Genomic DNA, 26411 nt, shown 5'->3' on the forward strand with positions numbered 1-26411 from the left:
TGCAGAAAAGCTAACAAGTTGCTACACCACAAGGCAGAATGAAGAAAGAACTAGAATATAAGAGCAAGGTGTTTTGAAAACATTAATTCCTTTTTTTTTTTTTTTTTTTTTGAGACAGAGTTTTGCTCTTGTTGCCCAGGCTGAAGTGGAATGGCGTGACCTCGGCTCACTGCAACCTCTACCTCCGGGATTCAAGTGATTCTCCTGCCTTAGCTCCCTGAGAAGCTGGGACTACAGGCATGTGCCACCAAGCCCGGCTAATTTTTTGTATTTTTAGTAGAGACGGGGTTTCACCATGTTGGCCAGGTTGGTCTTGAACTCCTGACCTCAGGTGATCCACCTGCCTCGGCTTCCCAAATTGCTGGGATTACAGGTGTGAGCCAAGGTGCCCAGCCTGAAAACATAAATCCTAACTGGGAAGTTTGAAAAAGGTTTTGTAATGATAGTAGTGATTGTAAAAAAACATTACCACTACTGGGTATCCTCACTGTGCTATGTGTCTACTGCACACTGTCTTGTTTGATTCTCACAACAATCCCAGGAAGTTAGGATGACACCATTTTGTAGATGAGGAAACTCAGTGGCAAAATAACTTGATCAAGGTCACATAACTAGTAAATGGCAAAGCCCAGATTCATAGCCAGGATTGTTGAATTTCAGGTCTGGAAGAATCGATGGGCTCACGGTAATAGTCCATAGGATAATAGCTAACACTTATTGAGGCTTGTTACATGCCAAGCCCTGTTCTAAACATTTGTATGTGCTAACTCATTTATCACCTTGAGGGAAAGAAAAGGGGCAAGGAAGGACCACCAAGCCAATGAAAGAAAGAGCTTTTGCAAAACCTCTAATGTAAGTGACTAGAGCTCAAACACAGAGAACAAATGTCCCAGGATGACAAGCCCATTAGGAACACGGAAGGAAGTGTTCCCTTCCTACTGAGATGAACAAGAGCAGGAAAAGTGGAGATCTGTTGTTTTGACCTGTGACCACCCATTTTTTTTTGAGACAGGGTCTCACTCTGTCATTCAGGCTGGAGTGCAGTAGGGTGATATCAGCTCACTGAAACCTCCGCCTTCCAGGTTCAAGAGGTTCTCTTTCCTCAGCTTCCCGAGTATCTGGGATTACAGGTGTTTGCCACCACGCCTGGTGAATTTTTGTATTTTTAGTAGAGACAGGGTTTCTCCATGTTGGCCACACTGGTCTTGAGCTCCTGACCTCAAGTGATTTGCCCGCCTCAGCCTCCCAAAGTGCTGGGATTACAGGTATGAGCCACTGTGCCCAGCCCCTCTTCATCTACTTCTAACAATCCCTGTCTTCCTTTGGCTCAGGTAAGGCTAATTCTACTCACTGTGCCCCAGAAGGCACATGACTAAAGGATGATTTTATCCTCCTGGCCACAGAGACAGGTTTAGAGACAGGCCTATGACCCAAATCAAGCCAACAAGACTGGTTCTAGGAAAGGCACTCTGCCTTTGTGGGAGTTGCTAAGCTGGTTGACTGTAAGCCAGGAAACTTCTGGGGCCTCTACAGGAAGACAGGCTGCAAAGAATGAAGTCAACCTAGAGAAAAGCAGAGACAAGAAATGGCAGATGTATGAAAAGATGGAAATGGGGAAGAGAAGGATCCTGGATCCAGCCATGCCTGATCCAGTTTTACTCCTGGACTTTAAAATCCCTTCTTGCTCAAGCAAGTATGATTTTAGCTTCTTTTACTTGCAACCAAAAGTCTGGTCAAATACTGGTCAGGCCTCCTAGAGAAAATTGCACTGGAGCTGGCCAGGCAAACAGCTCCACATGGAAAAGGGCTTTCCTACTATAAGAGGCCAGGGAGCTGAGAGGGGGCAGGTGTTGATGAAGGGATTCTTGTGAGTAAGGGGTGAAGGAACAAGTGGTCGAATTCCATGGCCAAACATGCCTCCCTTCCCATCTCTGCAGTCCCAGGACTTGATACAACCCCAGAGGTGGGAGGGACTGAGTTGGGGCACTGTATTTAAGCTGGAGAGTCACATGAAGTGAATGCAGAAGTCAGAAAGCCTGAGGCACTGGGTGGATTGGATCCTGACTAGAGCCAGCCAAGATTTTAGGCAGGGAGCCAATGCCATGAAAGCCCACTCTTGGGACTATGTGTAGGTCAAAGAGAGGTGAGAGGTACCTGGAAAAAGGGCAACTGGTCAGACAGCTATTACAACAGGCCAGGGATGAGGCAACAGGACCAGAACTACAGGAGGGAAGGGAATGGATGGGAAAAAATCGTCAAGAATTTTGGCTCTGAAATCAGGGTAATCTGGATTCCAGCCCCATTGACTAGCTAGGCCATCCTGGACACACGACTCACAGCCAGAAACTCAATTTTCCCCATTTGTAAAACCGGCACAAGACCTACCAGGGTTGCTGTGAGCATTAGAAATAATGGACATCAATGGCTCATGGCAGGTCCAGGGCAGTGGCTAGTCCAGCTGGGACTCTTGTCTTCCTGCCCACAGTGAACCCTGCAGTTTAGTTGAGGTTAAGAAGTGCTGACTAGGCTGCTTGGAGCCAGGCCTCATTGGCCAGAGGTGAGTCAGATAAGTGTCCCTGATTTCCAAGAGCTCATACTCTGATGGAGGAGACAGGAAGAAAAATGGAGAATCTAAACTCGTGGAAATAGCTGGGAAAGAGGATGCAATTGAGGAGAAAGGGTAGGCAGGGCACTGGGGCTAAGACTGTGACCGGCAGAACCAAGGGCAGCAGGCAAAGCGCTTCGAGACTCTGCCTTCCCCCAACCAGATCCGAGGTCTCATCCCTCATAGAAGCGGCTCTCCCCATCCATGTTCAGGCTCTTGCTGCAGCACCCGAAGCGGAGCTCACAGAATACAGAGGCTGCTATGCCTATGGAAGGGTGGCAGCAGGAAACAGAAGCTCTCTGCAACCTGATGCCAGCAAGAAAGGAACAGAAGGAGGGGCAGCGGGAGCCAAGAAACAGCCCAGGACCCAAAACCAGGCCAGCCCTGGACGCAGAATAGGCTCCAGCTGGGACATGGAACAACTGCACCTGTCAAGGAGTGAACCCTCCATCACCAGAGACGGTGAGGCTCTTCCCTCCGGATCCTGGGCTGAGTTCCACCTTTTAACTTTAGTCCTCTCCTCTAAACCCGACAGAAGCACCTTGCTCAAAACTCAAACCTGGCAGCAAGGCCCCTCTCCAACCTAGCTCCAAGCTGGCTTTCGAATCTTCTCCTCCTCCTGCCCTACGCTTTCTCCTTTCCCGGCCTTTGCTCATACCATTCCTTCCACCCACACACCTTCGCCCAATCATTTCCTCCATTTCCCAATCGCTAGGCCCAGTTCCGCCTCCCGGAAGCCTTTCCTCCTTCTGAGACGCTGGGGCCTGGTGAGTTACCTGACTGTTGGGCACCTTTCTGTTAAGATTCTTGTTTTTGTTTTTTGTGTTTTTTTTTGAGAAGGAGTCTCGCTCTGTCGCACAGGCTGGAGTGCAATGGCGTGATCTCGGCTCACTGCAACCTCTGCCTCCCGGGTTCAAGCGATTCTCCTGCCTCAGCCTACCGAGTAGCTGAGATTACAGGCGCCCGCTACCACTCCCAGCTAATTTTTGTATTTTTAGTAGAGACGGGGTTTCACCATGTTGGCCAGGCTGCTCTCGAACTCCTGACCTCGTGATCTGCCCGCCTCGGCCTCCCAAAGTGCTGGGATTACAGGCGTGAGCCACTGCACCCGGCCTATCTTAGCATTCTTTATATCCGCCCCAGGTACCCGCACATGCCCTGCACACAGCTAACATCGGGGCAATGTTGTGCTCCTCTGTTGCCTTTGCCTGTTCTGTTCCCCCCGCACCTTTTTTTTTTTTTTTAATTTATTTGGTTCCAATCGCCCTCCAATGCCAGCTCTCCATGAAGTCCTGACTCCCTCCTGCACCGCACCTCCCTTGCTGCCTTAAGTCCCGCTGTCCCTGTCACCCGTGTTCCCGTGGCTCTGGGCCCCTGCCACGCCAGGCGTGCTCTTCTGTTTCTGGCTGTCCCACCGGCGATGCTGCGCTTCCACACCACCCGGCGCACAGGCGTTGGTAGATGTGGAAGGTACCAAGAGCGGCAGGAGGAAGGGGCGCGCGGACACCCAGCCCCTTCCCGCGCACCCAGAGCAGGAAGAGCAGCGCGCACCCGGTCAGCGACGCGGCGGGCTCCACTGTGGCGCGCGCACTCCGAGCACGGAGGGCTGCAGGCTCACGCCACCTGGCTCCGCGCCCATCCCAATCCGCACCCGCCGCCCAGGAACCGGGGCTCACCCTCCGCCTGACAATTGTCTCGGGGTGCCGAGGGTCCGTGGCCCGTTGCCCGGGAGGTGACCACTGAGGAGTCGCGCTGGGGATCGGACCAGGAACTCACTGCTTTCATTGGCTGCGGAGGTCAGACCGTCCCACCCTCTTCTCCCCGCCGCCGCGGCAAGGCCAGGGCGAAAGGGACAAGTGCGCTGCTGGGGTCCTCTGCGCTGTGCGGGTCCGGGACTCAGGGTTCCCGGCTGCTATCAAGGCTGCGTAGCTTCCCCCTCCCCTCCTCCTTAGGTGGCAACTTGTGGACACACCCATTAAGCGGTCAGGCGTCAGGTTTCCTCCCGAGAGGTGGGAGGCGCCCTGGCCTTGATTCATCGTGAAGCTAGGCAGGAGATTTCCCAGCCACGGAGGGTGGAAAGCTTGCCTTGACCTCAGCAGGTCATGTCACTCCGTGTGCACAAGGCCTCGAGAGGCACTTTTTAAAAATTTTTTGAGGCGGTTTTCTTTTTTGTCTTTGTCTTTTCTTTTTTTTCTGAGACAGAGACAGAGTCTCGCTCTGTCGCCCAGTCTGGAGTGCAGAGGTGCTTTTCAAAAATTTATTTGAGCTGCGCGGCAGTCCTGGGCGGTAGGTAGTGGTGAATCTCATGTATTCCCGTTGCAATGCCCTACTCCCAAATAAACATCTTTTCTTTGAGAGAGCCTTTCTCTGTTTGTTGTTTAGGTTGAGAGTTTAAAAACAGATAATAAAGCCGGGCGCGGTGGCTCACGCCTGTAATCCCAGCACTTTGGGAGGCGGGCGGATCACTTGAGGTCAGGAGTTCGAGACCAGCCTGGGCAACATGGCGAAAACCTGTCTGTACTAAAAATACAAAAATTAGCTGGGCGTGGTGGCAGGCGCCTGTAAACCCAGCTACTCAAGGAGGCTGAGGCAGGAGAATCGCTTGAATCCGGGAGGCAGAGGTTGCAGTGAGCTGAGATTGCACCATTGCACTCCAGCCTGGGCAGCAAAGGGAGACTCTGCCTCAAAAAAAAAAAAAAAAAAAAGAAAGAAAGAAAAAACAAAGAAAAGAAAACCGATAATAAGGAAAATTCACTGAAACCTTGCTCATTGTAATGAATGTTTGGAGGTAATTTAAATGTCTTTTAATAATAGACTAATTGAATGAATTAAGCTACACACAGATTAATGTGCATACACACACATTTATACACAACTAGTGTGTGTGTGTGTGTGTGTGTGTATATATATATATATATATTTTTTTTTTTTTTTTTTTTGAGACGGAGTCTCGCTCTGTCGCCCAGGCTGAAGTGCAGTGGCACCATCTTTGCTCACTATAACCTCGGTCTCCCGAGTTCAAGCAGTTCTCCTGCCTCAGCCTCCTGAGTAGTTGGAATCACAGGCATGTACCACCACATCCGGCTACTTTTTGTATTTTTAGTAGAGACGGGGTTTCACCATGTTGGCCAGGCTAGTCTTGAACACCAGATCTCAAATGATCCACCCACCTCAGCCTCCCAAAGTGCTAGGATTACAGGCATAAGCTACCACACCTGGCTTAATCCTATCTATCTGTCTATCTATCTATCTACCTATCTACCTACCTCTCCATCCATCCATCTTTTTAGAAGAGATGTGATCTTGCAGTGTTGTCCAGGCTCTGGGCATATATATTTCTTTTTTAACTTTATTATATTATTTTTTAATAGAGTTGTCATCTAAGATGTTGCCCAGGATAGTCTCAAACTCCTGTCACTTCATGTGTATTGAGTTTTAGTTTTGCAAGAGAAAAAAATTTTACAGATATGTTGCATAACAATGTAAATACACTTAACATGACTGAACTGTATAATAAAATATAAGATTCTAAATTTTATGTTATGTATTTTTACCACAATCACAATTTAAAATGACAACTAAAAGAGTTATAAACTTGTTCAAAATTTACCTACGAACCACAAAAGTATTTCTCTCACACTAAAATAATATAAACAATAAATAGATTTTAAAATTAAGACAATTTCCATGACTACTCACCTAGACAGAATCAAACATTATTGGCCACCAGCCAAGAATAAAAATATACAAATCATAAACAAAATGGGGTAATATTTATACAAGCAAACAAACACATAGATAATTATATTGACAATAGACATAGGGCTGATTCATATTTGACTTTTGTCCCACACTGTCTTAAGGTGTACAGAGTTGAATATTGTCATACAAAATTATAATATATAAATTAAAGCTAAAAACACAATAAGCTGATGTGAAGTGGACCACCCTAAAACACAAAATACAGAAATACAAAATTGCAAAACAGAGTTAAAACAAACATTAATCCAAAAAATTCTGATTTGTATACTGTAATTTGTAGAAACCAGAAACACAATGAACTCATGTGAGGCAGCCTACTCTAAAAAAAATACAGAAATATAAAATTACAAAACATAATTAAGATAAACTTTAACCCATAAAATCCTGAGTAAACATAGTGTTTATTCTAGATAACTACTTGTTTTTTTTTTTAGACGGAGTCTTGCTCTGTCACCTAGGCTGGAGTGTGGTGGCAGGATGGCAGCTCACTGCAACCTCCACCTCCTGGGTTGAAGCGATTCTCCTGCCTCAGCCTCCTGACTAGCTGGGATTACAGGCACCCACCACCACGCCCAACTAATTTTTGTATTTTTAGTAGAGACGGAGTTTCGCCATGTTGGCCAAGCCGGTCTCGAACTCCTGACCTAAAGTGATCCACCCGCCTCGGCCTCTCAAAGTGCTGGGATTACAGGCGTGAGCTGTCGCCCTGGCCAGATGACTACAATTTTCAATTTTGCCTGTGCAGCCATGAAGAGCATGAATTTTGAATCATTAGCCGACAGTTAGGGCAACAACATTTCAGAGAAAACACATTATAATTATTCATAAAGAGCTTTGATGAGAAAGTTTTAAGGAATAAAAATGTAAATAATACTAGAGAAACTTAAATTATACTGTTGATACATTGCTGCTCTTCTTACATAAAATAGTAAGGCTGTAATCTAGCCTTTAGAAGAAAAGTCTTACATTTCTAAATACAAGGACAATATAAATATAGTATGTAGGGTATAAAACATCGATATATAAAAAATAAGGAATAAGTTGTACTAACATTCAGATAAAGGTTTAGGAACATGGATGGAAATGCTAATAATAATATTCTGCCTATAATTAATTACACATACAGCCAAATATCTTAATAAATTATTAATTATATGTTACTTCATTTTAACATATACATTCAAGCATGTTATTTTAGCACTTTTGAAACCAAAATTACAGACAAATGTGACATATGACAATTCAGAAAGTGAAAACACAGCCATGGTAATCTTCATATTAAAGAAGACAGAAGTATAAAATAATAATTGAGAAATAAGGTAACAATTGGGAATTTACTATATGTATAACAATGTTCTAAGTTTTCTTATGACAAAAGTTTTTGCAGGAAATCTATGAAATGAGTACATGTAGTAAACTCCCTATAGTACAGGCTGTTGGCATATAGAGTTTAAATTTCCAAGATTAGGTCCTACTAGGAAAGAGAAAAATTTTAAGTAAATAATTTAATAAGACACTTTGTGCACATAAAATTTTTTAGTCTAATTTTTTTGTAGATTTATGTTTTAAACCTCCATAGGACTTGAAATTATATAGCAGAAAATGTGTCATCTGTCCCTGGTGTCCTGGAATTTCTTTGTTTCTTTTTTTGGACGGAGTTTTGCTCTTGTTGCCCAGGCTAGAGTGCAGTGGCACAATCTTGGCTCGCTACAATCTCGGGCTCCCGGGTTCAAGTGATTCTCTTGCCTTGCCTCCTGAGTAGCTGGGATTACAGGCGCCCGCCACCACACCTAGCTAATTTTTGTATTTTTAGTAGAGGGGGGTTTCACCATGTTGGCCAGGCTGGTCTTGAACTCCTGACTTCAGGTGATCCACCCCCTTCGGCATCCCAAAGTGCTGGGATTACACGTGTGAGCCACAGCACTTTCTTATGTTATTAAATCACCAGATTTCATTTAAAAAAAAATCACAGGGCATATAGAGAAGGCAGAAAATAGGCCCCACTTGAAGGAACAAAATAAATCTCCAGAAATTGAATCTTAAGAAGTAAAGATTTTTGCATATCTGATAAAGAATTCAGAATTATCATCTTAAGCATGCTCAATGAACAAAAAATAAAACACAAATAGACAACTAAATGAAATTTTAAAATAATGAGCAAAATGAGATATCAATAAAGAGATAAAAATTATTTTCAAAAAGCCAACAGATATTGTGGAGTTGAAAGATGCAATAACTGAGTTTTATAAATTCACTGCAGACACAACAGCAAACTTAATGAAGCAGAAGAAGGAATCAGGAAATTGAACATTATTCACAAGTATTGAGTCCTGGAAGCCAATTTTAAAAAATGATGAAAAAAATAAGGATGAAATATGAGACTTACTGGATACCATCAAGTAGACCAATATATTTATAAAAAGAGTCTTATGGCCGGGTGCGGTGGCTCACGCCTGTAATCCCAACACTTTGAGAGGCCAAGGTGGGCAGATCGCGAAGTCAAGAGATCGAGATCATCCTGGCCAACATGGTGAAACCCCATCTCTACTAAAAATACAAAAAGTGGCAGGCGTGGTGGCTCATGCCTGTAATCCCAGCACTTTGGGAGGCCAAGGCGGGTGGATCACGAGGTCAGGAGATCGAGACCATCCTGGCTAACACAGTGAAACCCCGTCTCTACTAAAAATACCAAAAAAATTAGCCAGGCATGGTGGTGGGCACCTGTAGTCCCAGCTACTCGGGAGGCTGAGGCAGGAGAATGGTGTGAACCCGGGAGGTGGAGGTTGTGGTGAGCCGAGATCGTGCCACTGCACTCCAGCCTGGGCAACAGAGTGAGACTCTGTCTCAAAAAAAAAAAAAAGAAAAAATACAAAAAGTGGCTGGGCATGGTGGTGTGCGCCTGTAGTCCCAGCTACTGGCGAGACTGAAGCAGGAGAATCGCTTGAACCTGGGAGGTGGAGGTTGCACTGAGCTGAGATCATGCCACTGCACTCCAGCCTGGCGACTGACTAAAAGTCTGTCTCAAAAAAAAAAAAAGTCTTATAAAAAGAATAAAAGAGCCTCTCCCTCTCCCTCTCCCCCCCTCCCCCTCCCCTCCCCCTCCCCCTCCCCCTCTCCCTCGTCTCCCTCTCCCCACGGTCTCCCTCTGATGCCGAGCTGAAGCTGGACTGTACTGCTGCCATCTCGGCTCACTGCAACCTCCCTGCCTGATTCTCCCACCTCAGCCTGCCGAGTGCCTGCGATTGCAGGCGCGCGCCGCCACGCCTGACTGGTTTTCGTATTTTTTTGGTGGAGACGGTGTTTCGCTGTGTTGGCCGGGCTGGTCTCCAGCTCCTAACCGCGAGTGATCTGCCAGCCTCGGCCTCCCGAGGTGCCGGGATTGCAGATGGAGTCTCGTTCACTCAGTGCTCAATGTTGCCCAGGCTGGAGTGCAGTGGCTGATCTCGGCTAGCTACAACCTCCACCTCCCAGCCGCCTGCCTTGGCCTCCCAAAGTGCCGAGATTGCAGCCTCTGTCCGGCCGCCACCCCGTCTGGGATGTGAGGAGCCCCTCTGCCCGGCCGCCCAGTCTGGGAAGTGAGGAGCACCTCTTCCCGGCCGCCATCCCGTCTAGGAAGTGAGGAGCATCTCTGCTTGGCCACCCATCGTCTGGGATATGAGGAGCCCCTCTGCCTGGCTGCCCAGTCTGGAAAGTGAGGAGCGCCTCTGCCCGGCCGCCATCCCATCTAGGAAGTGAGGAGCGTCTCTGCCCGCCCGCCCATCGTCTGAGATGTGGGGAGCACCTCTGCCCCACCGCCCTGTCTGGGATGTGAGGAGCGCCTCTGCTGGGCCGCAACCCTGTCTGGGAGGTGAGGAGCGTCTCTGCCCCGCCGCTCCGTCTGAGAAGTGAGGAAACCCTCTGCCTGGCAACCGCCCCGTCTGAGAAGTGAGGAGCCCCTCCGTCCGGCAACCACCCCGTCTGGGAAGTGAGGAGCGTCTCCGCCCGGCAGCCACCCCGTCCGGGAGGGAGGTGGGGGGGGTCAGCCCCCCGCCCGGCCAGCCGCCCCGTCCGGGAGGTGAGGGGCTCCTCTGCCCGGCCGCCCCTACTGGGAAGTGAGGAGCCCCTCTGCCCGGCCAGCCGCCCCGTCCGGGAGGGAGGCGGGGGGGGGGGGTCGGCCAGCCGCCCCGGCCGCCCCTACTGGGAAGTGAGGACCCCTCTGCCCGGCCAGCCGCCCCGTCCGGGAGGGAGGTGGGGGGGTCAGCCCCCCGCCCGGCCGGCTGCCCCGTCCGGGAGGTGAGGGGCGCCTCTGCCCGGCCGCCCCTACTGGGAAGTGAGGAGCCCCTCTGCCCGGCCAGCTGCCCCGCCCGGGAGGGAGGTGGGGGGGTCAGCCCCCCGCCTGGCCAGCCGCCCCATCCGGGAGGGAGGTGGGGGGGTCAGCCCCCCGCCCGGCCAGCCGCCCCGTCCGGGAGGGGGGAGGGGGGGTCAGCCCCCTGCCCGGCCAGCCGCCCCGTCCGGGAGGGAGGTGGGGGGGGTCAGCCCCCCGCCCGGCCAGCCGCCCCGTCCGGGAGGTGAGGGGCGCCTCTGCCCGGCCGCCCCTACTGGGAAGTGAGGACCCCTCTGCCCGGCCAGCCGCCCCGTCCGGGAGGGAGGTGGGGGGGTCAGCCCCCCGCCCGGCCGGCTGCCCCGTCCGGGAGGTGAGGGGCGCCTCTGCCCGGCCGCCCCTACTGGGAAGTGAGGAGCCCCTCTGCCCGGCCAGCTGCCCCGCCCGGGAGGGAGGTGGGGGGGTCAGCCCCCCGCCTGGCCAGCCGCCCCATCCGGGAGGGAGGTGGGGGGGTCAGCCCCCCGCCCGGCCAGCCGCCCCGTCCGGGAGGGGGGAGGGGGGGTCAGCCCCCTGCCCGGCCAGCCGCCCCGTCCGGGAGGGAGGTGGGGGGGGTCAGCCCCCCGCCCGGCCAGCCGCCCCGTCCGGGAGGTGAGGGGCGCCTCTGCCCGGCCACCCCTACTGGGAAGTGAGGAGCCCCTTTGCCCGGCCAGCGCCCCGTCCGGGAGGGAGGCGGGGGGGGGGGGGTCGGCCACCCGCCCCATCCGGGAGGGAGGTGGGGGGGTCAGCCCCCCTTCCGGCCGGCCGCCCTGTCCGGGAGGTGAGGGGCGCCTCTGCCTGGCCGCCCCTACTGGGAAGTGAGGACCCCTCTGCCCGGCCAGCCGCCCCGTCCGGGAGGGAGGTGGGGGGGACAGCCCCCCGCCCGGCCAGCCGCCCTATCCAGGAGGTGAGGGGCGCCTCTGCCCGGCCGCCCCTACTGGGAAGTGAGGAGCCCCTCTGCCTGGCCAGCCGCCCCGTCCGGGAGGGTAGTGGGGGGGTCAGCCCCCCGCCCGGCCAGCCGCCCCATCCGGGAGGTGAGGGGCGCTTCTGCCCGGCCGCCCCTACTGGGAAGTGAGGAGCCCCTCTGCCCGGCCACGACCCCGTCTGGGAGGTGTGCCCAGCGGCTCATTGGGGATGGGCCATGATGACAATGGCGGTTTTGTGGAATAGAAAGGCGGGAAGGGTGGGGAAAAAATTGAGAAATCGGATGGTTGCCGGGTCTGTGTGGATAGAAGTAGACATGGGAGACTTTTCATTTTGTTCTGTACTAAGAAAAATTCTTCTGCCTTGGGATCCTGTTGATCTGTGACCTTATCCCCAACCCTGTGCTCTCTGAAACATGTGCTGTGTCCACTCAGGGTTAAATGGATTAAGGGCGGTGCAAGATGTGCTTTGTTAAACAGATGCTTGAAGGCAGCATGCTAGTTAAGAGTCATCACCACTCCCTAATCTTAAGTACCCAGGGACACAAACACTGCGGAAGGCCGCAGGGTCCTCTGCCTAGGAAAACCAGAGACCTTTGTTCACTTGTTTATCTGCTGACCTTCCCTCCACTATTGTCCTATGACCCTGCCAAATCCCCCTCTGCGAGAAACACCCAAGAATGATCAATAAAAAAAAAAAAAAAAAAAAAAAAAAAAGAAAAAGGGGCCCAGGGGACAGGCATTCAGCATATGGAGGATCCACGCCAGCCCCGGCTGCTGCGTTCCCTTAGTATTTATTGCTCATGATCGGGCGTGACAGGATAATAGGATAATAGTGGAGAGGTCAGAAGGTAAACACGTGAACAAATGTCTCTGCACCATAAACAAGGTAAAGAAAAAAGTGCTGTGCTTTTGATGTGCATATACATAAACATCTCATTGCCTTAAGGAACAGTATTGCTGCCAGCATGTCCCACCTCCAGCCCTAAGGCGGTTTTCTCCTATCTCAGTAGATGGAATATACAATCAGCTTTACACCCAGACATTCCATTGCCCAGGGATGAGCAGGAGACAGAAGCCTTCCTCTTATCTCAACTGCAAAAAGGCGTTCCTTCCTCTTTTACTAATCCTCCTCAGCACAGACCTTTTACGGGTGTCGGGTGTCGGGCTGGGGGACGGTCAGGTCTTTCCCTTCCCACGAGGCCATATTTCAGACTCTCACATGGGGAGAAACCTTGGACAGTACCTGGCTTTCCTAGGCAGAGGTCCCTGCGGCCTTCTGCAGTGTTTTGTGTCTCTGGGTACTTGAGATTAGGGAGTGGTTTGAGATTAGGGAGTGGTGATGACTCTTAACAAGCATGCTGCCTTCAAGCATTTGTTTAACAAAGCACACCCTGCACAGCCCTTAATCCATTTAACCCTGAGTTGACACAGCACATGTTTCAGGGAGCACAGGGTTGGGGGAAGGGTTACAGATTAACAGCATCTCAAGGCAGAAGAATTTTTCTTAGTAGGGAACAAAATGGAGTCTCCTATGTCTACTTCTTTCTACACAGACACAGTAACAATCTGATCTCTCTTTCTTTTCCCCACAATGTGGTTTTGGGCGCCTGTAATCCCAGCTACTTGGGAGACTGAGGCAGGAGAATTGCTTGAACTTGGGAGGCAGAGGTTGCTGTGAGCCGAGATTGTGCCACTGCACTACAGCCTGGGCGAAAAAAGCAAAACTCCGTCTCAAAAAAAAAAACAAAACACTTGTGATTTGGGGGTTTTGTGGAAATTTAATTACGATGAAAAATCTGTATCTTTTTTGTAATGTTGGCATACTTGGGTAATTTTGTGGCAAATATATTTCCCAGTGGACCTTTTGTTGGTGGCACTAACTGCAAGGTTGCTGGGAAAGTGGAGTCTGTTTGGTGGATGAGCTCTGACTGCCGTTTTGGAACCTCACCTCTACTCATGCTGTCTCAAGTCCTTGTCTCATTCTCCAGCTCTCAGTTCAAATAAAGTTATTTCTCCTGGGAAAAAAAATTCCGTGAAACGCACACTGGATGACAGTGCTGAAGTTGGGTGCCCTGGGAAGTCCTCAGGACACCCCTGCATGAAGGCTGCCCCAGGAGAGCAGCGCAAGGTTGTGGAGGTCTCAAAGCTCTGAAGAACCTGCCTACCGAAGACAGGAGTGCCCACAAAACAGTTGGCCCATGGGCTCCCCAAGACCTACGTGTACCTCGGAGGCATTTGGCAGAAGATTCTTTGTGAACAAAAATCTCTGCCCACTAGGAGGCAGGAGTGTGTGTGTGTGTGTGTGTGTGTGTGTGTGTGTGTGTGTTGAAACCAGAACTCCACCTTATGTGTTCATTGTGGAATTTGAAAATGGAAGCCTAAAGTTGAAAATTAAAATCACCCGTGATAGCTGTAAACTATTTTCTGTGCTAGATGGGTTGTTCCAGGGTGCGGGGTCCTGGTAACACCCTTCTTTCTCCCTTCCTGAAAGAGTTACACATACTGCTCAAGGCCTGAATCCACAGGTACCATGTCCAAGCCCTGCTCAAGAGCCTGGGCCCATCTGCCACCTTCAGCAGAGTTGACTGAAGCTGCTTGTCCTTCTTGAGCATTTTCTCCAATGGTGACCTGAGAGGGGTGGGAGGTATTGGTGTCAGGACTGAACGGAGGGAAAAGGAGCATGGAGGCCAGGGGCTGAAGACCAGGCCTTCCAACCTGGAGGGGCCTGGCCCTGAGACACCCAGACCAGGGTCACATTTAGGTAGAAAGACAACTGGCCCTGGGTGGCCCTGTGCTGACCACCAGCCCCGGGTTCCTCACAGATATACAGTTATCATAGATATTCAAACAGTGGGAATTGGAAGAATGGCTTGGAGATGGGCCCTGTCAACTGTGGGTCACTGAGCACATCCTGCCAGGGACCCAGGAGGGGCCATTGTGTCTCTAGAACCATGACTGGAAGGTGGAACTCCCACGGTGAGCAAGGAAGAGGGTCCTCGTTGGGTTGGAGGGCCACACACCAACAAGCCTGGCTTATTCAAGCTTGGCCATTCCTGAAGCACTTCCAGTGCCTACCATGAGCAGTAGGAACCCACCCACTGGGAACTGCAAGATGCATGGAGACCTCATGTATCCGTTTGTAATTACAGCCAAGGGCCAGTGAGGCAGCATCACTGCATCCACATGGGGCTTTTACTGCAACCAGTAAGTCTCTGCCAGCCCCCCACAGGCTCCTGGGATGCCACTTGTTCTGGGTCTGTGGACAGACAACCAGGGCACTTACTTAGTGCCCACCCACTCCTTGTAGGCCCATAGCCTATCACTCAAACCCGAGCCCACCAGCCCCGGCTTCCCAAGCCATTCCCACTGGAGCTGCTCAACCACATCAGCCTGAACTTTACAAAACCCTTTGTCATGCCATAGAAAAAAAGGTGATGGCTTTGTCCCACTGCCCCTGCCTTGTGTCATGTCATGTGGGGGTATGTGATGAACTGGCCAGCCTAACTCCAGTGCTTCTGCCCAAAAAACTGCCCCCACTGCCTGAGTCCCCTTCTAGGGAGCTGTCAGTCAATGTGGGAGAGAGCAGCCCTGGGAGGGACCCCATCTGCTTCTGACTTCAGTGCCAAGAAGAACCTAGAGCAGGTAGAGGTGTCAGAGAAGAAGCCTGCGGCAGGGCTCTGAGCTTGGTGGGCTGTGTATCTCCCTCTCCACTGCCTGCCATGGGGCCTAGCACCACACATTCAAGAGGAAAACCATCCCATTCCAGGTGTGCAGCTGGACTGCTCCCCGGGCAAGGGCTCCCATGACACTGCGTGCTCACAGAGGATGTCTACACCTTGAGGCTGAGCTATGAGGAGAACATTCCTGAACAGGTGCATGCAGACTGGCCCTGCCCTCACTGGGAACCCCCTTCCTCCTGGGTGCCAGACAGAATTCTGTGCCCTTTTATGGAGGCTCCATGCTGGTCAGTTCATTTGGAAGTCTAAGGCTATCAATGAAGAGGTTAAAAAAAAAAAGAGAGAGACAGACTTCTCAGAGCAGGTTGTGGGGCACAGCCTGAGCCCTTGTCTTCCTGGTCCTTCTGCAGACCTGGGATTGGAAGAAGGAGCTGCAGATAATGAGGGAACTGCTCTGCCAGAACTGGCCTAAGCAGCTGCTTCAAGAAAGAGCCATAATCAAGGTGCTTATATCCCCTGGTGACTGACTGGCAGCCTCAGGCCCACCTGCCATCTGCGGGCAGGCTTTCTTGTGGACAGGATGAAAGCAAGGAAAGCTGGAATGAGCCCAGCCCTCTCAGGCATCCTGAATGCTGTCTAGGGTTTCCTGCAAGGCCTTCTAGCCTTCTGCTTCCTGGCAGGCCACCCATGCACCTTTTTCTGGCCTCTTTGAGACCTTGATTCCCTGGAAGGAGAGGACTGTACTTCCACTGTGCTGAGTGGCCAGGGCCATCCAGCTTCCCACCCTCTACTAGCAACCATGGGGCTCTCACTTGGGCACACACTGCCTAACCATGCCCCTTCCAAGGCAGAAGCTCATTTATCTTACACTTTCAGCTTACTAGAACTTAAAAGTTATCAATGCTGTTATTAAGGTAGAGAAATGATGGGGGGAAGGTTACTTTCTGAGTATTCCCATGTTGGGTGCAGGGAGTAGGGAGGCAAGTCAGGGCCTGTGGTTGTGCCTTTTGCTGTGCCTGAGGGCAGGCAGGCAGGCCAGGGCTGGGCACATGAATGTCTGGGGGTCCACCACTGCTGACTCCCTCCCCCTCACTCGGAGCTATAACCAGGCCAATCCATAATCTTATCATGGAGATCATCAGCACAGGTGGGGCTGCCGAGGATGCTGGGGGAGAGTTCCCAGCCTGTCCTGGCGGCCAGTCCTTGCCAGGGGTGGCTCATAACTCAGCCTCTGAGAGAAGCAGGCAGACATCTCTGCAGGAAGCTGGGCGGTTGTGGCTCAGGGCAGCCCAGCCCCCACTGATGGTGGAGTGGAACTACCTCCCATCAGGCTGTGTCTCCACAGCCCACCCTTGGAGCCAGGAGGTGATTTCCCGTGTGTGCAAAGCAGTCAGCTCCATCAGATGCATGGCCTTCAACATTCAATTCAACTCGGACATCTCACCAGAGAAGCAATGGGGACCGGCCAGTGTAAAAGCCCTGCAAAGTTGGACAGAGCCTCACGCTGGGGGGTCTGGGGTCCTCAGTGCTGGCGGGCCTGTCTGCCCATCTGAGCACTGCTCCGTGGGACTGTGTTCGCGGCCTCCTGAAGGAGGGCTGTGGGCTCCTCAGTGAGGTCCTGAGCCTGTGGAACATGCCTGAGGCCACGCTCATGGGGACTTGCACCTACGTGCACCTCCTTGACCATCCCACTACATTATGAGTGACTGTGCCAAGGTGGGTGTCGAGCACCCTCTGGGCTGTATCAGCAAAGGCCTTTGGGCCTGGCCTGGGATTGAAGGATGGCAAATGAGGGGTCTGGGGTTGCATTGTCACCCCACATGGTAGCAGGAAATGAGAGCGTCCAGGCCTACAGGACTGGAACCTTATCGAGGGGGTTAGGAGGCTGTTCACTTCCCCCCCGGGCCCATGTGGAAGATCGGAGGGAGTCTAGGGGGACCCTGGGGAGACACTTGTTCTGTCTGGCATCCCCCAGCTCCACCCTTTGATAACCATTTCCTTGGGAGAGCTGAGGAACCTCTTGTGCTCCATTGAGGCAGGGCCTCACCTCACACGGTATTGGCAAGGAGGCATTCTGAGACTCTGAATGAGAAGCTAGCACAGTGCCTGACAAGTACTCATGGGAGCTGTCATCCTCTGTAACCATCACGTGGCCTTATAGTGTTCAGACTGCCTGGCCTGGGGCTTGGTGAGGCTGTTTGGGGATCAGCTAATTTAGGCTCCCACTCTTTCCTCAATCAGTGTCTCTGTTTGGTGTTTGTTTATTTATGGGTTTTAAAAAACCTAAGATTTCATTTATAGTAGTTTCAAGCTTGTATGTATTTGTATAGATTTTATTAGAAGGAAGAGGGCTTAAGGAAACAACATTTTTGGCCATGCGTGGTGGCTCATGCCTGTAACCCAGCATTTTGGGAGGCTGAGGCATGCAGATCACCTCAGGTCAGGAATTTGAGACCAGCCTGACCAACATGGAGAAACCCCGTCTCTACTAAAAAAAATACAAAAATTAGCTGGGCATGGTGGCACATGCCTGTAATCCCAGCTACTCGGAGGCTGAGGCAGGAGAATTGCTTGAACCTGGACGGCAGAGGTTGCGGTGAGCCGAGATCACGCCATTGTACTCCAGCCTGGGCAAGAAGAGTGAAACTCTGTCTCACGAAAAAAAAAAAGAAAACAGAAAAAGAAAAGAACATTTTTAGAAGTTCTCAGTGGGGCATAGACTTCCATGTCACAAATGCTAATGTTGACCTTCTCTTGCTGCCTTTGTGCAAAGTATATATAGGAAGTGCAGCCAGAGGTGACAAGGCTCAGTGTCTAGAGCCGTGCTGCTTGGGCTTGCTTGCTGGCCTGCGACCAGGTGAACTCTGGGTGTGAGGCCGTGCCCATCCTGGATCTACAACCCCCACTCCCTCTCCCAGGCCCTGTGTAAACAACACAAGGCAGTGCTAATGAGCAGGCTAGTAATGGGCCTCAAGCACCCCAATACCATCCAGGAAGATCTGAATGCCATCTGTGGCTGGGGCTGTGTGGAGACAGGGGCTGTGGCTGCCTTGGCTTGTCATGGCCCACCACAGACGCACCTGTCCTGTGCTGCTTCGCCAGCAGCCAGCTGTCCATGGCCCTGAGCCTGTCACACCATGCTTGCTACATCATGCTGCTCTTGTGTGAAAAAATTATCCTGAGATGGCGCTGCTGGATGTTAGTGCTGGAAAGGCGGCAGCACCTTTGTCCTGGGGGATCAGGAACTGACCAGATCCTTCCTGACTGCCCCCCAGAACAAGTGGGGGCTGGTGCTGCATTGAATGATGACCCCCCCGAAATGCGTTTGCACTGGCTCAGTGAATACACAATGCAGAGGCCTAAAATGAAGACACATGAATCGTATTATGTGGAGATCAGCTTGCAGCTGGGAAACAGGTGGCTCTCAGGTATCTCATCTTCCCCAGCAAGTGTGGAATGTGTCCATGCCCATGGTGTGTGATCTGCCCTTCTTAACTTGTACACAACTCCAGGTCAGTTCTGAGTGAAGGACATGCAGATGAGATTTCTCAGGTCATTTGTATGTTTGACATTATGGCTGCTGCTTTTGCTGCCACTGCCCCTAGGCCCAACCTGGCTTAAAGTCTAGGCTTTAGGTAAAAAAGGTGGAGGGCTTCCTGTATCCTGTGATGGGAAGTCAGATATCCCTGGGGGTTGGGGTGCACTTTAGTTTTGTGGCAGGATGAGAGCTGCAGTGATTTTATTAATTGTGATTGGCCTGGCCAGGGTGTAGCTCTGGGTGAGGGGGAGGGAGTCAGCGGTGGTGGTCCCCCAGACATCCATGTGCCCAGCACTGGCCTGTCTGCCCTCAGGCACAGCAAAAGGCACAACCACAGGCCCTGACTTGCCTCCCTGCTCCCTGCACCCCAGATGGGAATACTCGGAGGCTACAATCTGAATGTATTTTTCTCCCGTTTTAATCCGAACTGCCTAACACACCGTGGAGATAGGATGGGTGAGGGGCTTTGGGGGAACCAGGGCAGAATCATGGATCCTGGGGGAAAGTTAAAGATACAGGAGTGGTTTTCACCTCTCTGTGGAGCCCAGCTCTCTACCTAGTCATTGCCACACAGCACCTTTACAGAGACTAGCTCTGCGGTGATTGGGAATCCCAACAGCCCCGGGCTGCTCCCTGTCCCCTGCTGCCTGTGCTCCTTCCCTTGCCCTTCAGAGCCCACATGAAGGAGGAGGTTGCCACCCTGTGAGCCTGAGAGAGCTGTGTCTGATTGGAGCTTCTGCCTGGGGTATTGCAAAGAGCCACTTATGGGTATAGTGTGTCCAGATACCTTGTTTCAAGAAGAATGGATGCAAGCTAGCAAGTGTAGCATCCCCACAGCTGATAAATATGTGTTTCTTATTTTTAAACCATCACATCTTTATATCACATTAGAATAAAGTTTTTAAAACCTGCTGCTCCAGCCTCACCTGTGTGTTCTGTAACCCAATCTCACAATCAAACTGGGTTTGATTGTGAGTGCTGTTGTTAGAAATGTTACTAAGAGAGGAATATGTATAAATTAGATCAAATTTAAGGTTATTCTTATAATGCCACTTGAGTGGAAAGTAAGAGGGTGGAGTCACAGGCACTCAGTTGGGGTTTACCCACCTTCCAGTTACTAGACTCATGAGGGTGTGGCACAGGTGAACCTGTCATTGGTGACAAAAGGAAAAAGGCTGGTGGGGAGGGGGTGCTAGGCTGTGGGGCTAAACCCTGGGCATGTTGGACCTGTGAGGTCCCTAAACATCTAACTGGCTGGGTACCTGCCCTTGTCAAGGTACCCTCGAGGGTACCTGCCCTCAGGTGAACCTGAGGGACAGAGCCTGTGAAGTAAGAGGGACTGTGTGGAGGTGGCCTGTCCCTATGAGAGGGGGAGTTTAAGGCTCATTACAGCTGGTGGCTGCTGCTCAGCCATCCCTCTGAAGAGCAGGCAGGTCCTCAGCCGCATATATAGTTCAATGCCTTTTAGAGTGTTTAGAGAGTCCTTCATGTTTTAGAAATTCTAAAAACAACAACAACAACAAATTCCAATTCTAATGTCTGTTATTTTCCCTGTGCCAACTGGAAAAAAGATGTCCTTCACCTTGAAGTCTTAAGTGACACCCAAGGATAGCCATCAGTGTCTTGGCCATTGAAGCCTCACGTATGCTCTCTTCCACCAGTTTGATTTGCAGCCTCATGGTTGTGTTGTACTAAATATACTTTCCTCTGGCCTTGTCCACATATATAGGTGTGTGTGTATATATATGTGTGTGTATATGTGTGTGTGTGAATATATCTTAGTCTTTCTAAGATGAGCATATTGCCTGGTCGTGGTGGCTCACGCCTGTAATCCCAGCACTTTGGGAGGCTGAGACAGGCGGATCACTTGAAGTCAGGAGTTCAAAACCAGCCTGGCCAACATGGCAAAACCCTGTCTCTACTAAAAATACAAAAAAGTTAGCTGGAGGTAGTGGCAGGCGCCTGTAATCCCAGCTACTCAGGAGGCTGAGGCAGGAGAATCGCTTGAACCCGGGAGGTGGAGGTTGGAATGAGCTGAGATCAAGCCACTGCACTCCAGCCTGGGCAACAGTGAGACTCTGTCTCAAATAAAAAAAAAAAGAAAAAGAAAAAGAAAAAAAGAAAAAAAAAGCATATTTGGGCAACATAATTCTTGCTTATCCGTTCCCAGCCCCCGCTGCCCCTCCATTTCTAATAGCCATCCCACGTTGTGGTCAGCAGTGTGGTACAGCATGCTGAGAGAGGAGCTCAGGGATGGGATAAGGGTCTTTCCTGCATTATCCAAATGATTAGAAAGTTGTTAAAAAGGTGTCCAATTGTTCTACTTTCTACTTTTAAATAGCTAATAAGATGCATTATACAAGCAGACCCAGGTAAGGGAAAAAGCAAGTGCATTTCAAGGCTCAGCTCACTTCTTAATTAGCTGTGATACCCGGGGCGTGTGACTCCGCCTACAGGATCCTGTTTCCCTGTCCATAAAGCGCACTAATGCTGGGGACGGTGGGTGTGGGGGAGGGTCCTGGAGCCTTATTCAATCTGTCAGAGTAGGAACCGTCCTATCAGGCACGCAGTTGGGGAGGAGGGCGTGGCTTCCAGCGTTTGGCGCGGCCTTTGTCTCTGGCTCAGGCCGGAGCCTGAGATCCATCTCTACTGTCCCGCGTGTTGCCCCTCGGGAGCACTAGGTGACTTTGTCACATCCTCTGTTGCCCTGAGATCTGGAGGTACTGGGAAATGCATAGCTAAGATGCCAGGACATCCTGGAAACCAGGAAATGGTGAGTACGCGGGGTTGGGCATCCCAAGAGGGGAGAGTGGGCTGGTTGAAACCAGCGGAACCGGCCTCCCCACGGTCAGCTCCCGGGTCCACAGACCTGAGTCCCCGTTGGCGCAGCTGGGCCCTCAGTACCCCCGGAGAGTGGGGTGGGGGGCGGTGCAAGACGGCAGCTGAGCCAGCGGACTTTGACCCCTCACCGTCCTCTTCCCGCGCCGCGACCTGCCTGAAACTCTCTGGGCAGCGCTGCACCCGCAGCCCCGACTCTCTCCCAGATTGTTCAGGGATGACAGAGGGTCATTAGAGCAGAATCCCGACTCGGTGGGTGCGTGGGAGGAGCTGCGGCCAGTGGGGTCCCCAGTGTCTCCTGTTAAAAAAATTTTTTTTTGAGATGAAGTCTCGCTGTCACCCAGGCTGGAGTGCAGTGGCGCGATCTCGGCTCACTACAACCTCCACCTCCCAGGTTCAAGCAGGAGGACATTGTACAGTGCCTCCTGGGAAGGAGGACACTCCTTGAGTAATTTAATGGGCAGGATGGGGATGGGAGAATGTTTTGAGGGATACCATGGTCTGACTTGACAGTTGAGTCAGACATGTTTGTGTTCCCATCAGCGCTGCCGCTCCCTGAGTTTGTCACCTTGGAAAGACTTTTTCACTTGTTTCCACTTCAGTTTTTCAATAACTGTAAATTACGTTTCGTCAATAGAGCTGAAAATTTTTTTAAAAAGTCAAAGACCATGAAAGGTGGATTTCAGAAAAATCTAGTCATATATTTTATTTGTTAAAAATGCTTCTTTACCTTTATCTTCCTCAGAGTGAGTGTAGTAAGTTTGTTATGTCCGTTCTTTTTGGGTGGTGATTTCAAACAGGATTCCAAGGCTTTGTTTGGGAATGCTACCAGGGAAAAGAAATAGGAAAAATCACTTTTTCATTATGGCTATAGAAAGTGAACACATTTCCCCAAGAAAATGTGAAAGATTAATTGATGAAGTGCATATATTTGTCAAAACATCAGCTCCCCTTTTTTGCAGGGTCTAAAATTTGTAACAGTAGATAACTCTGTTGTGTATTCTGTTGTCTAAATGTCCAAGTTTAATGTTAAATTTTATGAGATAGAACTTGGCACCTTCTAGAAATGTTCATATATGGTTGTTTATTAAACTATTTATCATGAAAGTATGTAAGTGGCATGCTTAATGTCTGAAAGAGATAGAGACTTCAGCTTTTCCTGTTGAGGTATAAAATTTAAGTGCCTTACTATTTCCTTACAATATTCTATAAACACTGTGTTTGAGTGATTTTGCTGTTTTCTTTAAACACTGGGCATTAGTTTTAAACTAAGATTAGTCAGAAAAGGGCTTTCTTTCATAAGGAGGAGCAAACTACTAGAAGGTGAGAAAAAAATGTGGGAGGGGGAGGAAGGGATAAAACATGGTGAAATCAGATCCTAGATCAGAGAGTGTTTTACCTAGAAGTCAGCCTGTTCTTAAGAGGGACATAAGGAGGGGTTGTAAGGTTGGGTCAAAGTTTGGGGGCCTGGGGAAGGAAAGAAACTTAAGAAAAGTTTGGTTAACAAGTAGTTTGTTCTGTCCACTAGAGACAAACTTATTTAATTGTTTATGAGACAAAAAAATAAAAATAAATGGGAATTTAGAGAGTCTCTGGCTTTGGGATATCAAAAACAGGAAGGGTGTTTCTTAGCAGTGAGATGCTCTTGAAAAGCACAAAGAATGGGGGATTTCTTTAATCACAGCTGCTATCTACCCACCCCATCTTCTCCCACCACTTTTCCTTGCCTTGTACTTTTTTTTCATTTGGCTCTTGTTGATTTGTACCTTTCATAATAAATTGGTAAATGCAAGTATAGTGTTTTGCTGAATTCTGTGAGTAGTTGTATCAAGTTATTGAACTTGAGAAGGAGGTTATGGGAGCCCCCAATTTATATCGGAACTCTCCCTCCCTCCACCCCTCTAACAGGCCCCAGTGTATGTCGTTCCCCTTCTGTGTACATGTGTTCTTATTGTTCACCTCCCAATTATAAGTGAGAACATGCAGTGTTTGGTTTTCTGTTCCTGTGTATTAGTTTGCTGAAGATAATGGCTTTCGGCTCCATCCATGTTCCTGCAAAGAATATGATCTTGTTCCTTTTTATGGCTGCATAGTATTCCATAGTGTGTAAAGCAATTGCAACAAAAGCAAAAATTCACAAATGGGATCTAACTAAATTAAAGAGCTTCTGCACAGCAAAAGAAACTATCATCAGGGTGAACAAACAACCTAGAGAATGGGAGAAAATTTTTGCAATCTATCCATCTAACAAAGGTCTGGTATCCAGAATCTACCAGGAACTTAAACAAATCTACAGGAAAAAAAACAACCTCATTAAAAAGTGGGCAAAAAACATGAAGAGACACTTTTCAAAAGAAGACATTTATGTGGCCAACACACATGTGAAAAAATAGCTCAACATCGAGATTATTAGTGAAATGCACATCAAAACTGCAATGAGATAACATCTCATGCCAGTCAGAATGGCGATTATTAAAAAGTCAAGAAGCAACAGATGTTGGTGAGGCTGTGGAGAAATAGGAATGCTTTTACACTGTTGGTGTGAATGTAAATAAATTTAATCATTGTGGAAGAGAGTGTAGCTATTCCTCAAAGATCTAGAACCAGAAATAACATTCGACCCAGTGATCCCATTACTGGGTATATACCCAAAGGAATATAAATGATTCTATTATAAAGATACATGCATGTGTAGGTTCATTTCAGCACTATTCACAATAGCAAAGACATGGAATCAACCCAAATGCCTATCGATAGACTGGACAAAGAAAATGTGGTGCTTTTTTATTTTTTATTTGAATGCCTTTGTTTTCTTCTTTTTACCTGATTGCTCTAGCTTGATTCCTCAGTACTATGTTGAAGAGAGGTGGTGAGATTTGATATCCTTGTCTTCTTTCTGATACTAGAGAAATAATTTGTTGCATTTCACTCTTGAGTATAATGGGATCTGAGGCCTTAATGTATATGGTCTTTATTGTGTTTTAATGCATGCTTTTATATGTACATTGTTGGGAGTTTTTATCATAGAAGTGTATTAAATTTTGTCGAATGCTTTTAATAAATTTTTTGAGATAATTATATAATTTTCATTCTTCATTTTGTTATTGTATATTATTTTTAATGATTTGTGTATGTTGAAACATTCTTGCATCCTGGGGATGAGTCCTACTTGATCATAGTGTATGATCCTTTTAATATGTTGTTGAATTCAGTGTCTAGTATTTTGTTGAGAATTTTTTCTGTATCTTCAAAGGGATATTTGCTTATAATTTTCTTTTCTTGTAGTGTCCTTATCTGGCTTCAGTATGAGGGTACTAATGGCTGCCTCAAGTGAATTTGGAAGTGTTTTTTCTCTTCAATTTTTGGAAGAGTTTGAGAAGGACTGACATTAGTTCTTCCTTAAATGTGTGATGCAATTCACCCATGCAGTCATTTGGTCACGGAATTTTTTTTTTTTTTTTTTTTTTTTGAGACAGTCTGGCTCTGTCCCCCAGGCTGGAGCGCAGTGGCACCATCTCAACTCACTGCAAGCTCCGCCTTCCGGGTTCACGCCATTCTCCTGCCTCAGCCTCCTGAGTAGCTGGGACTACAGGCACCCGCCACCACGCCCTACTAATTTTTTTGTATTTTTAGTAGAGACAGGGTTTCACCATGTTGGCCAGGATGGTCTCCAACTCCTGACCTCGTGATCCGCCCACCTCGGCCTCCCAAAGTGCTAGGATTACAGGCTTGAGCCACCACGCCCGGCCGGTCATGGGATTTTTCAAAATTGGAAGTATTTGGTTACTGCTTCAATCTCCTTCCTCATTATTGATCTGTTCGGTATTTCTTTTTTTTTATAATTTAATCTTGGTGGGTTTGTTTCTAATAATTATTTCTTGAGTTATCAAATTTGTTGTCATATAATTGCTCATAGTAGTCTCTTATTATCTTTTGCATTTCTGTGGGATCTTTTGAAATAACTTAATTTTTTATTTATAATTTTTTTAAGTCCTCTCTCTTTTTGTTCCCTGGGTTAATATAGCCAAAAGTTTGTCAATTTTGGTTCTTTAAAAAACTCAGCTCAATTAAAAAAAAATTTCTATTGTCTTTCTAGTCTCTGTTTACTTTCTTTTTTCTCTAATTCTTGATATTTTTATAATTAAGCTAACGTTGGAATTATTTTGGTCTTGTTCAAGTTTTTTGGGAGTTAAAGTTAGGTTGTTTACTTAAATCTTTCTTTTTTTATTAGTGTAGGAGTTTATTATTATAAACTTCTCTTAGAACTGCTTTTGTTGTATCCCAGAAATTTTGGATCCTTGTGTGCTCAATTTTATTTGTATTGGGGTGCTTTCCTTTTTCCCTTTTGACTTCTTCTTTGAACCCCATTGGTTGTTTAGGAGCATGTTGTTTAATATCCACATATTTGTGAGTTTTCCAATTTTCTTCTTGCTATTGGTTTCCAGTTTTATACCATTATAGTCAGAATAAAAACTTGACATAATTTTAACCTTCTTAAATTTGAAACGCTTGTTTTTTATTTTTGGTTTAATATATAATCTCTCCTGGAGAATATTTTATGTATTTTTGAGATAAATGTGTATTCTTATACTGTTGGGTGAAATGTTATATTTATATCATCTATTTAGTCTATAGTGTTATACAAGCACACTTCTTTTTTTGAAGATTTCTGTTTGAATAATCTGTCTGTTTCAAGTAGGGTATTAAAGTTTTCTGTTATTGTATTCCT

General features: G+C 48.7%; 2 long non-coding RNA genes and 1 pseudogene across 6 annotated transcripts in view, besides 7 other annotated features; 2 read left to right on the top strand and 1 right to left on the bottom strand.

The window, feature by feature from the left end:
- The window catches only part of LOC124901661 (uncharacterized), a 32854-nt gene extending 28359 nt beyond the window's left edge, over positions 1-4495 (bottom strand). Inside the window, exon 1 of the long non-coding RNA XR_007060366.1 lies at positions 4382-4495. This is a non-coding gene — a long non-coding RNA (uncharacterized LOC124901661). The remainder of the gene's footprint in view (positions 1-4381) is intronic.
- Positions 2340-2933: an enhancer, noted in NCBI's record as "H3K4me1 hESC enhancer chr7:64710613-64711206 (GRCh37/hg19 assembly coordinates)". NCBI's record gives its function as "activates a minimal SCP1, AML or CMV promoter by ChIP-STARR-seq in primed H9 embryonic stem cells {active_cell/tissue: H9 hESC(primed)}" and the evidence as "EXISTENCE:reporter gene assay evidence [ECO:0000049][PMID:30033119]".
- Positions 12679-13226: an enhancer, noted in NCBI's record as "OCT4-NANOG-H3K27ac hESC enhancer chr7:64725505-64726052 (GRCh37/hg19 assembly coordinates)". NCBI's record gives its function as "activates a minimal SCP1, AML or CMV promoter by ChIP-STARR-seq in naive H9 embryonic stem cells {active_cell/tissue: H9 hESC(naive)}" and the evidence as "EXISTENCE:reporter gene assay evidence [ECO:0000049][PMID:30033119]".
- Positions 12749-12949: a silencer, noted in NCBI's record as "peak6539 fragment used in MPRA reporter construct". NCBI's record gives its function as "represses an SCP1 promoter by STARR-seq MPRAs in K562 erythroleukemia cells {active_cell/tissue: K562}" and the evidence as "EXISTENCE:reporter gene assay evidence [ECO:0000049][PMID:32103011]".
- CLUHP7 (clustered mitochondria homolog pseudogene 7) lies at positions 14473-15061 on the top strand (annotated as a pseudogene).
- Positions 14863-15397: an enhancer, noted in NCBI's record as "H3K4me1 hESC enhancer chr7:64727679-64728213 (GRCh37/hg19 assembly coordinates)". NCBI's record gives its function as "activates a minimal SCP1, AML or CMV promoter by ChIP-STARR-seq in primed H9 embryonic stem cells {active_cell/tissue: H9 hESC(primed)}" and the evidence as "EXISTENCE:reporter gene assay evidence [ECO:0000049][PMID:30033119]".
- Positions 15398-15931: an enhancer, noted in NCBI's record as "H3K4me1 hESC enhancer chr7:64728214-64728747 (GRCh37/hg19 assembly coordinates)". NCBI's record gives its function as "activates a minimal SCP1, AML or CMV promoter by ChIP-STARR-seq in primed H9 embryonic stem cells {active_cell/tissue: H9 hESC(primed)}" and the evidence as "EXISTENCE:reporter gene assay evidence [ECO:0000049][PMID:30033119]".
- Positions 15980-16594: an enhancer, noted in NCBI's record as "H3K4me1 hESC enhancer chr7:64728796-64729410 (GRCh37/hg19 assembly coordinates)". NCBI's record gives its function as "activates a minimal SCP1, AML or CMV promoter by ChIP-STARR-seq in primed H9 embryonic stem cells {active_cell/tissue: H9 hESC(primed)}" and the evidence as "EXISTENCE:reporter gene assay evidence [ECO:0000049][PMID:30033119]".
- Positions 21176-21763: an enhancer, noted in NCBI's record as "H3K27ac hESC enhancer chr7:64733992-64734579 (GRCh37/hg19 assembly coordinates)". NCBI's record gives its function as "activates a minimal SCP1, AML or CMV promoter by ChIP-STARR-seq in naive H9 embryonic stem cells {active_cell/tissue: H9 hESC(naive)}" and the evidence as "EXISTENCE:reporter gene assay evidence [ECO:0000049][PMID:30033119]".
- The window catches only part of LOC105375334 (uncharacterized), an 82449-nt gene continuing 77490 nt past the window's right edge, over positions 21453-26411 (top strand). For all 5 annotated transcript variants that reach the window (XR_001744938.2, XR_927613.3, XR_007060361.1 and 2 more), the window contains exon 1: positions 21453-21617. This is a non-coding gene — a long non-coding RNA (uncharacterized LOC105375334). The remainder of the gene's footprint in view (positions 21618-26411) is intronic.

This window comes from Homo sapiens, chromosome 7 (assembly GCF_000001405.40).
Source record: "Homo sapiens chromosome 7, GRCh38.p14 Primary Assembly".
Classification (NCBI taxonomy): Eukaryota; Metazoa; Chordata; class Mammalia; order Primates; family Hominidae; genus Homo; species Homo sapiens.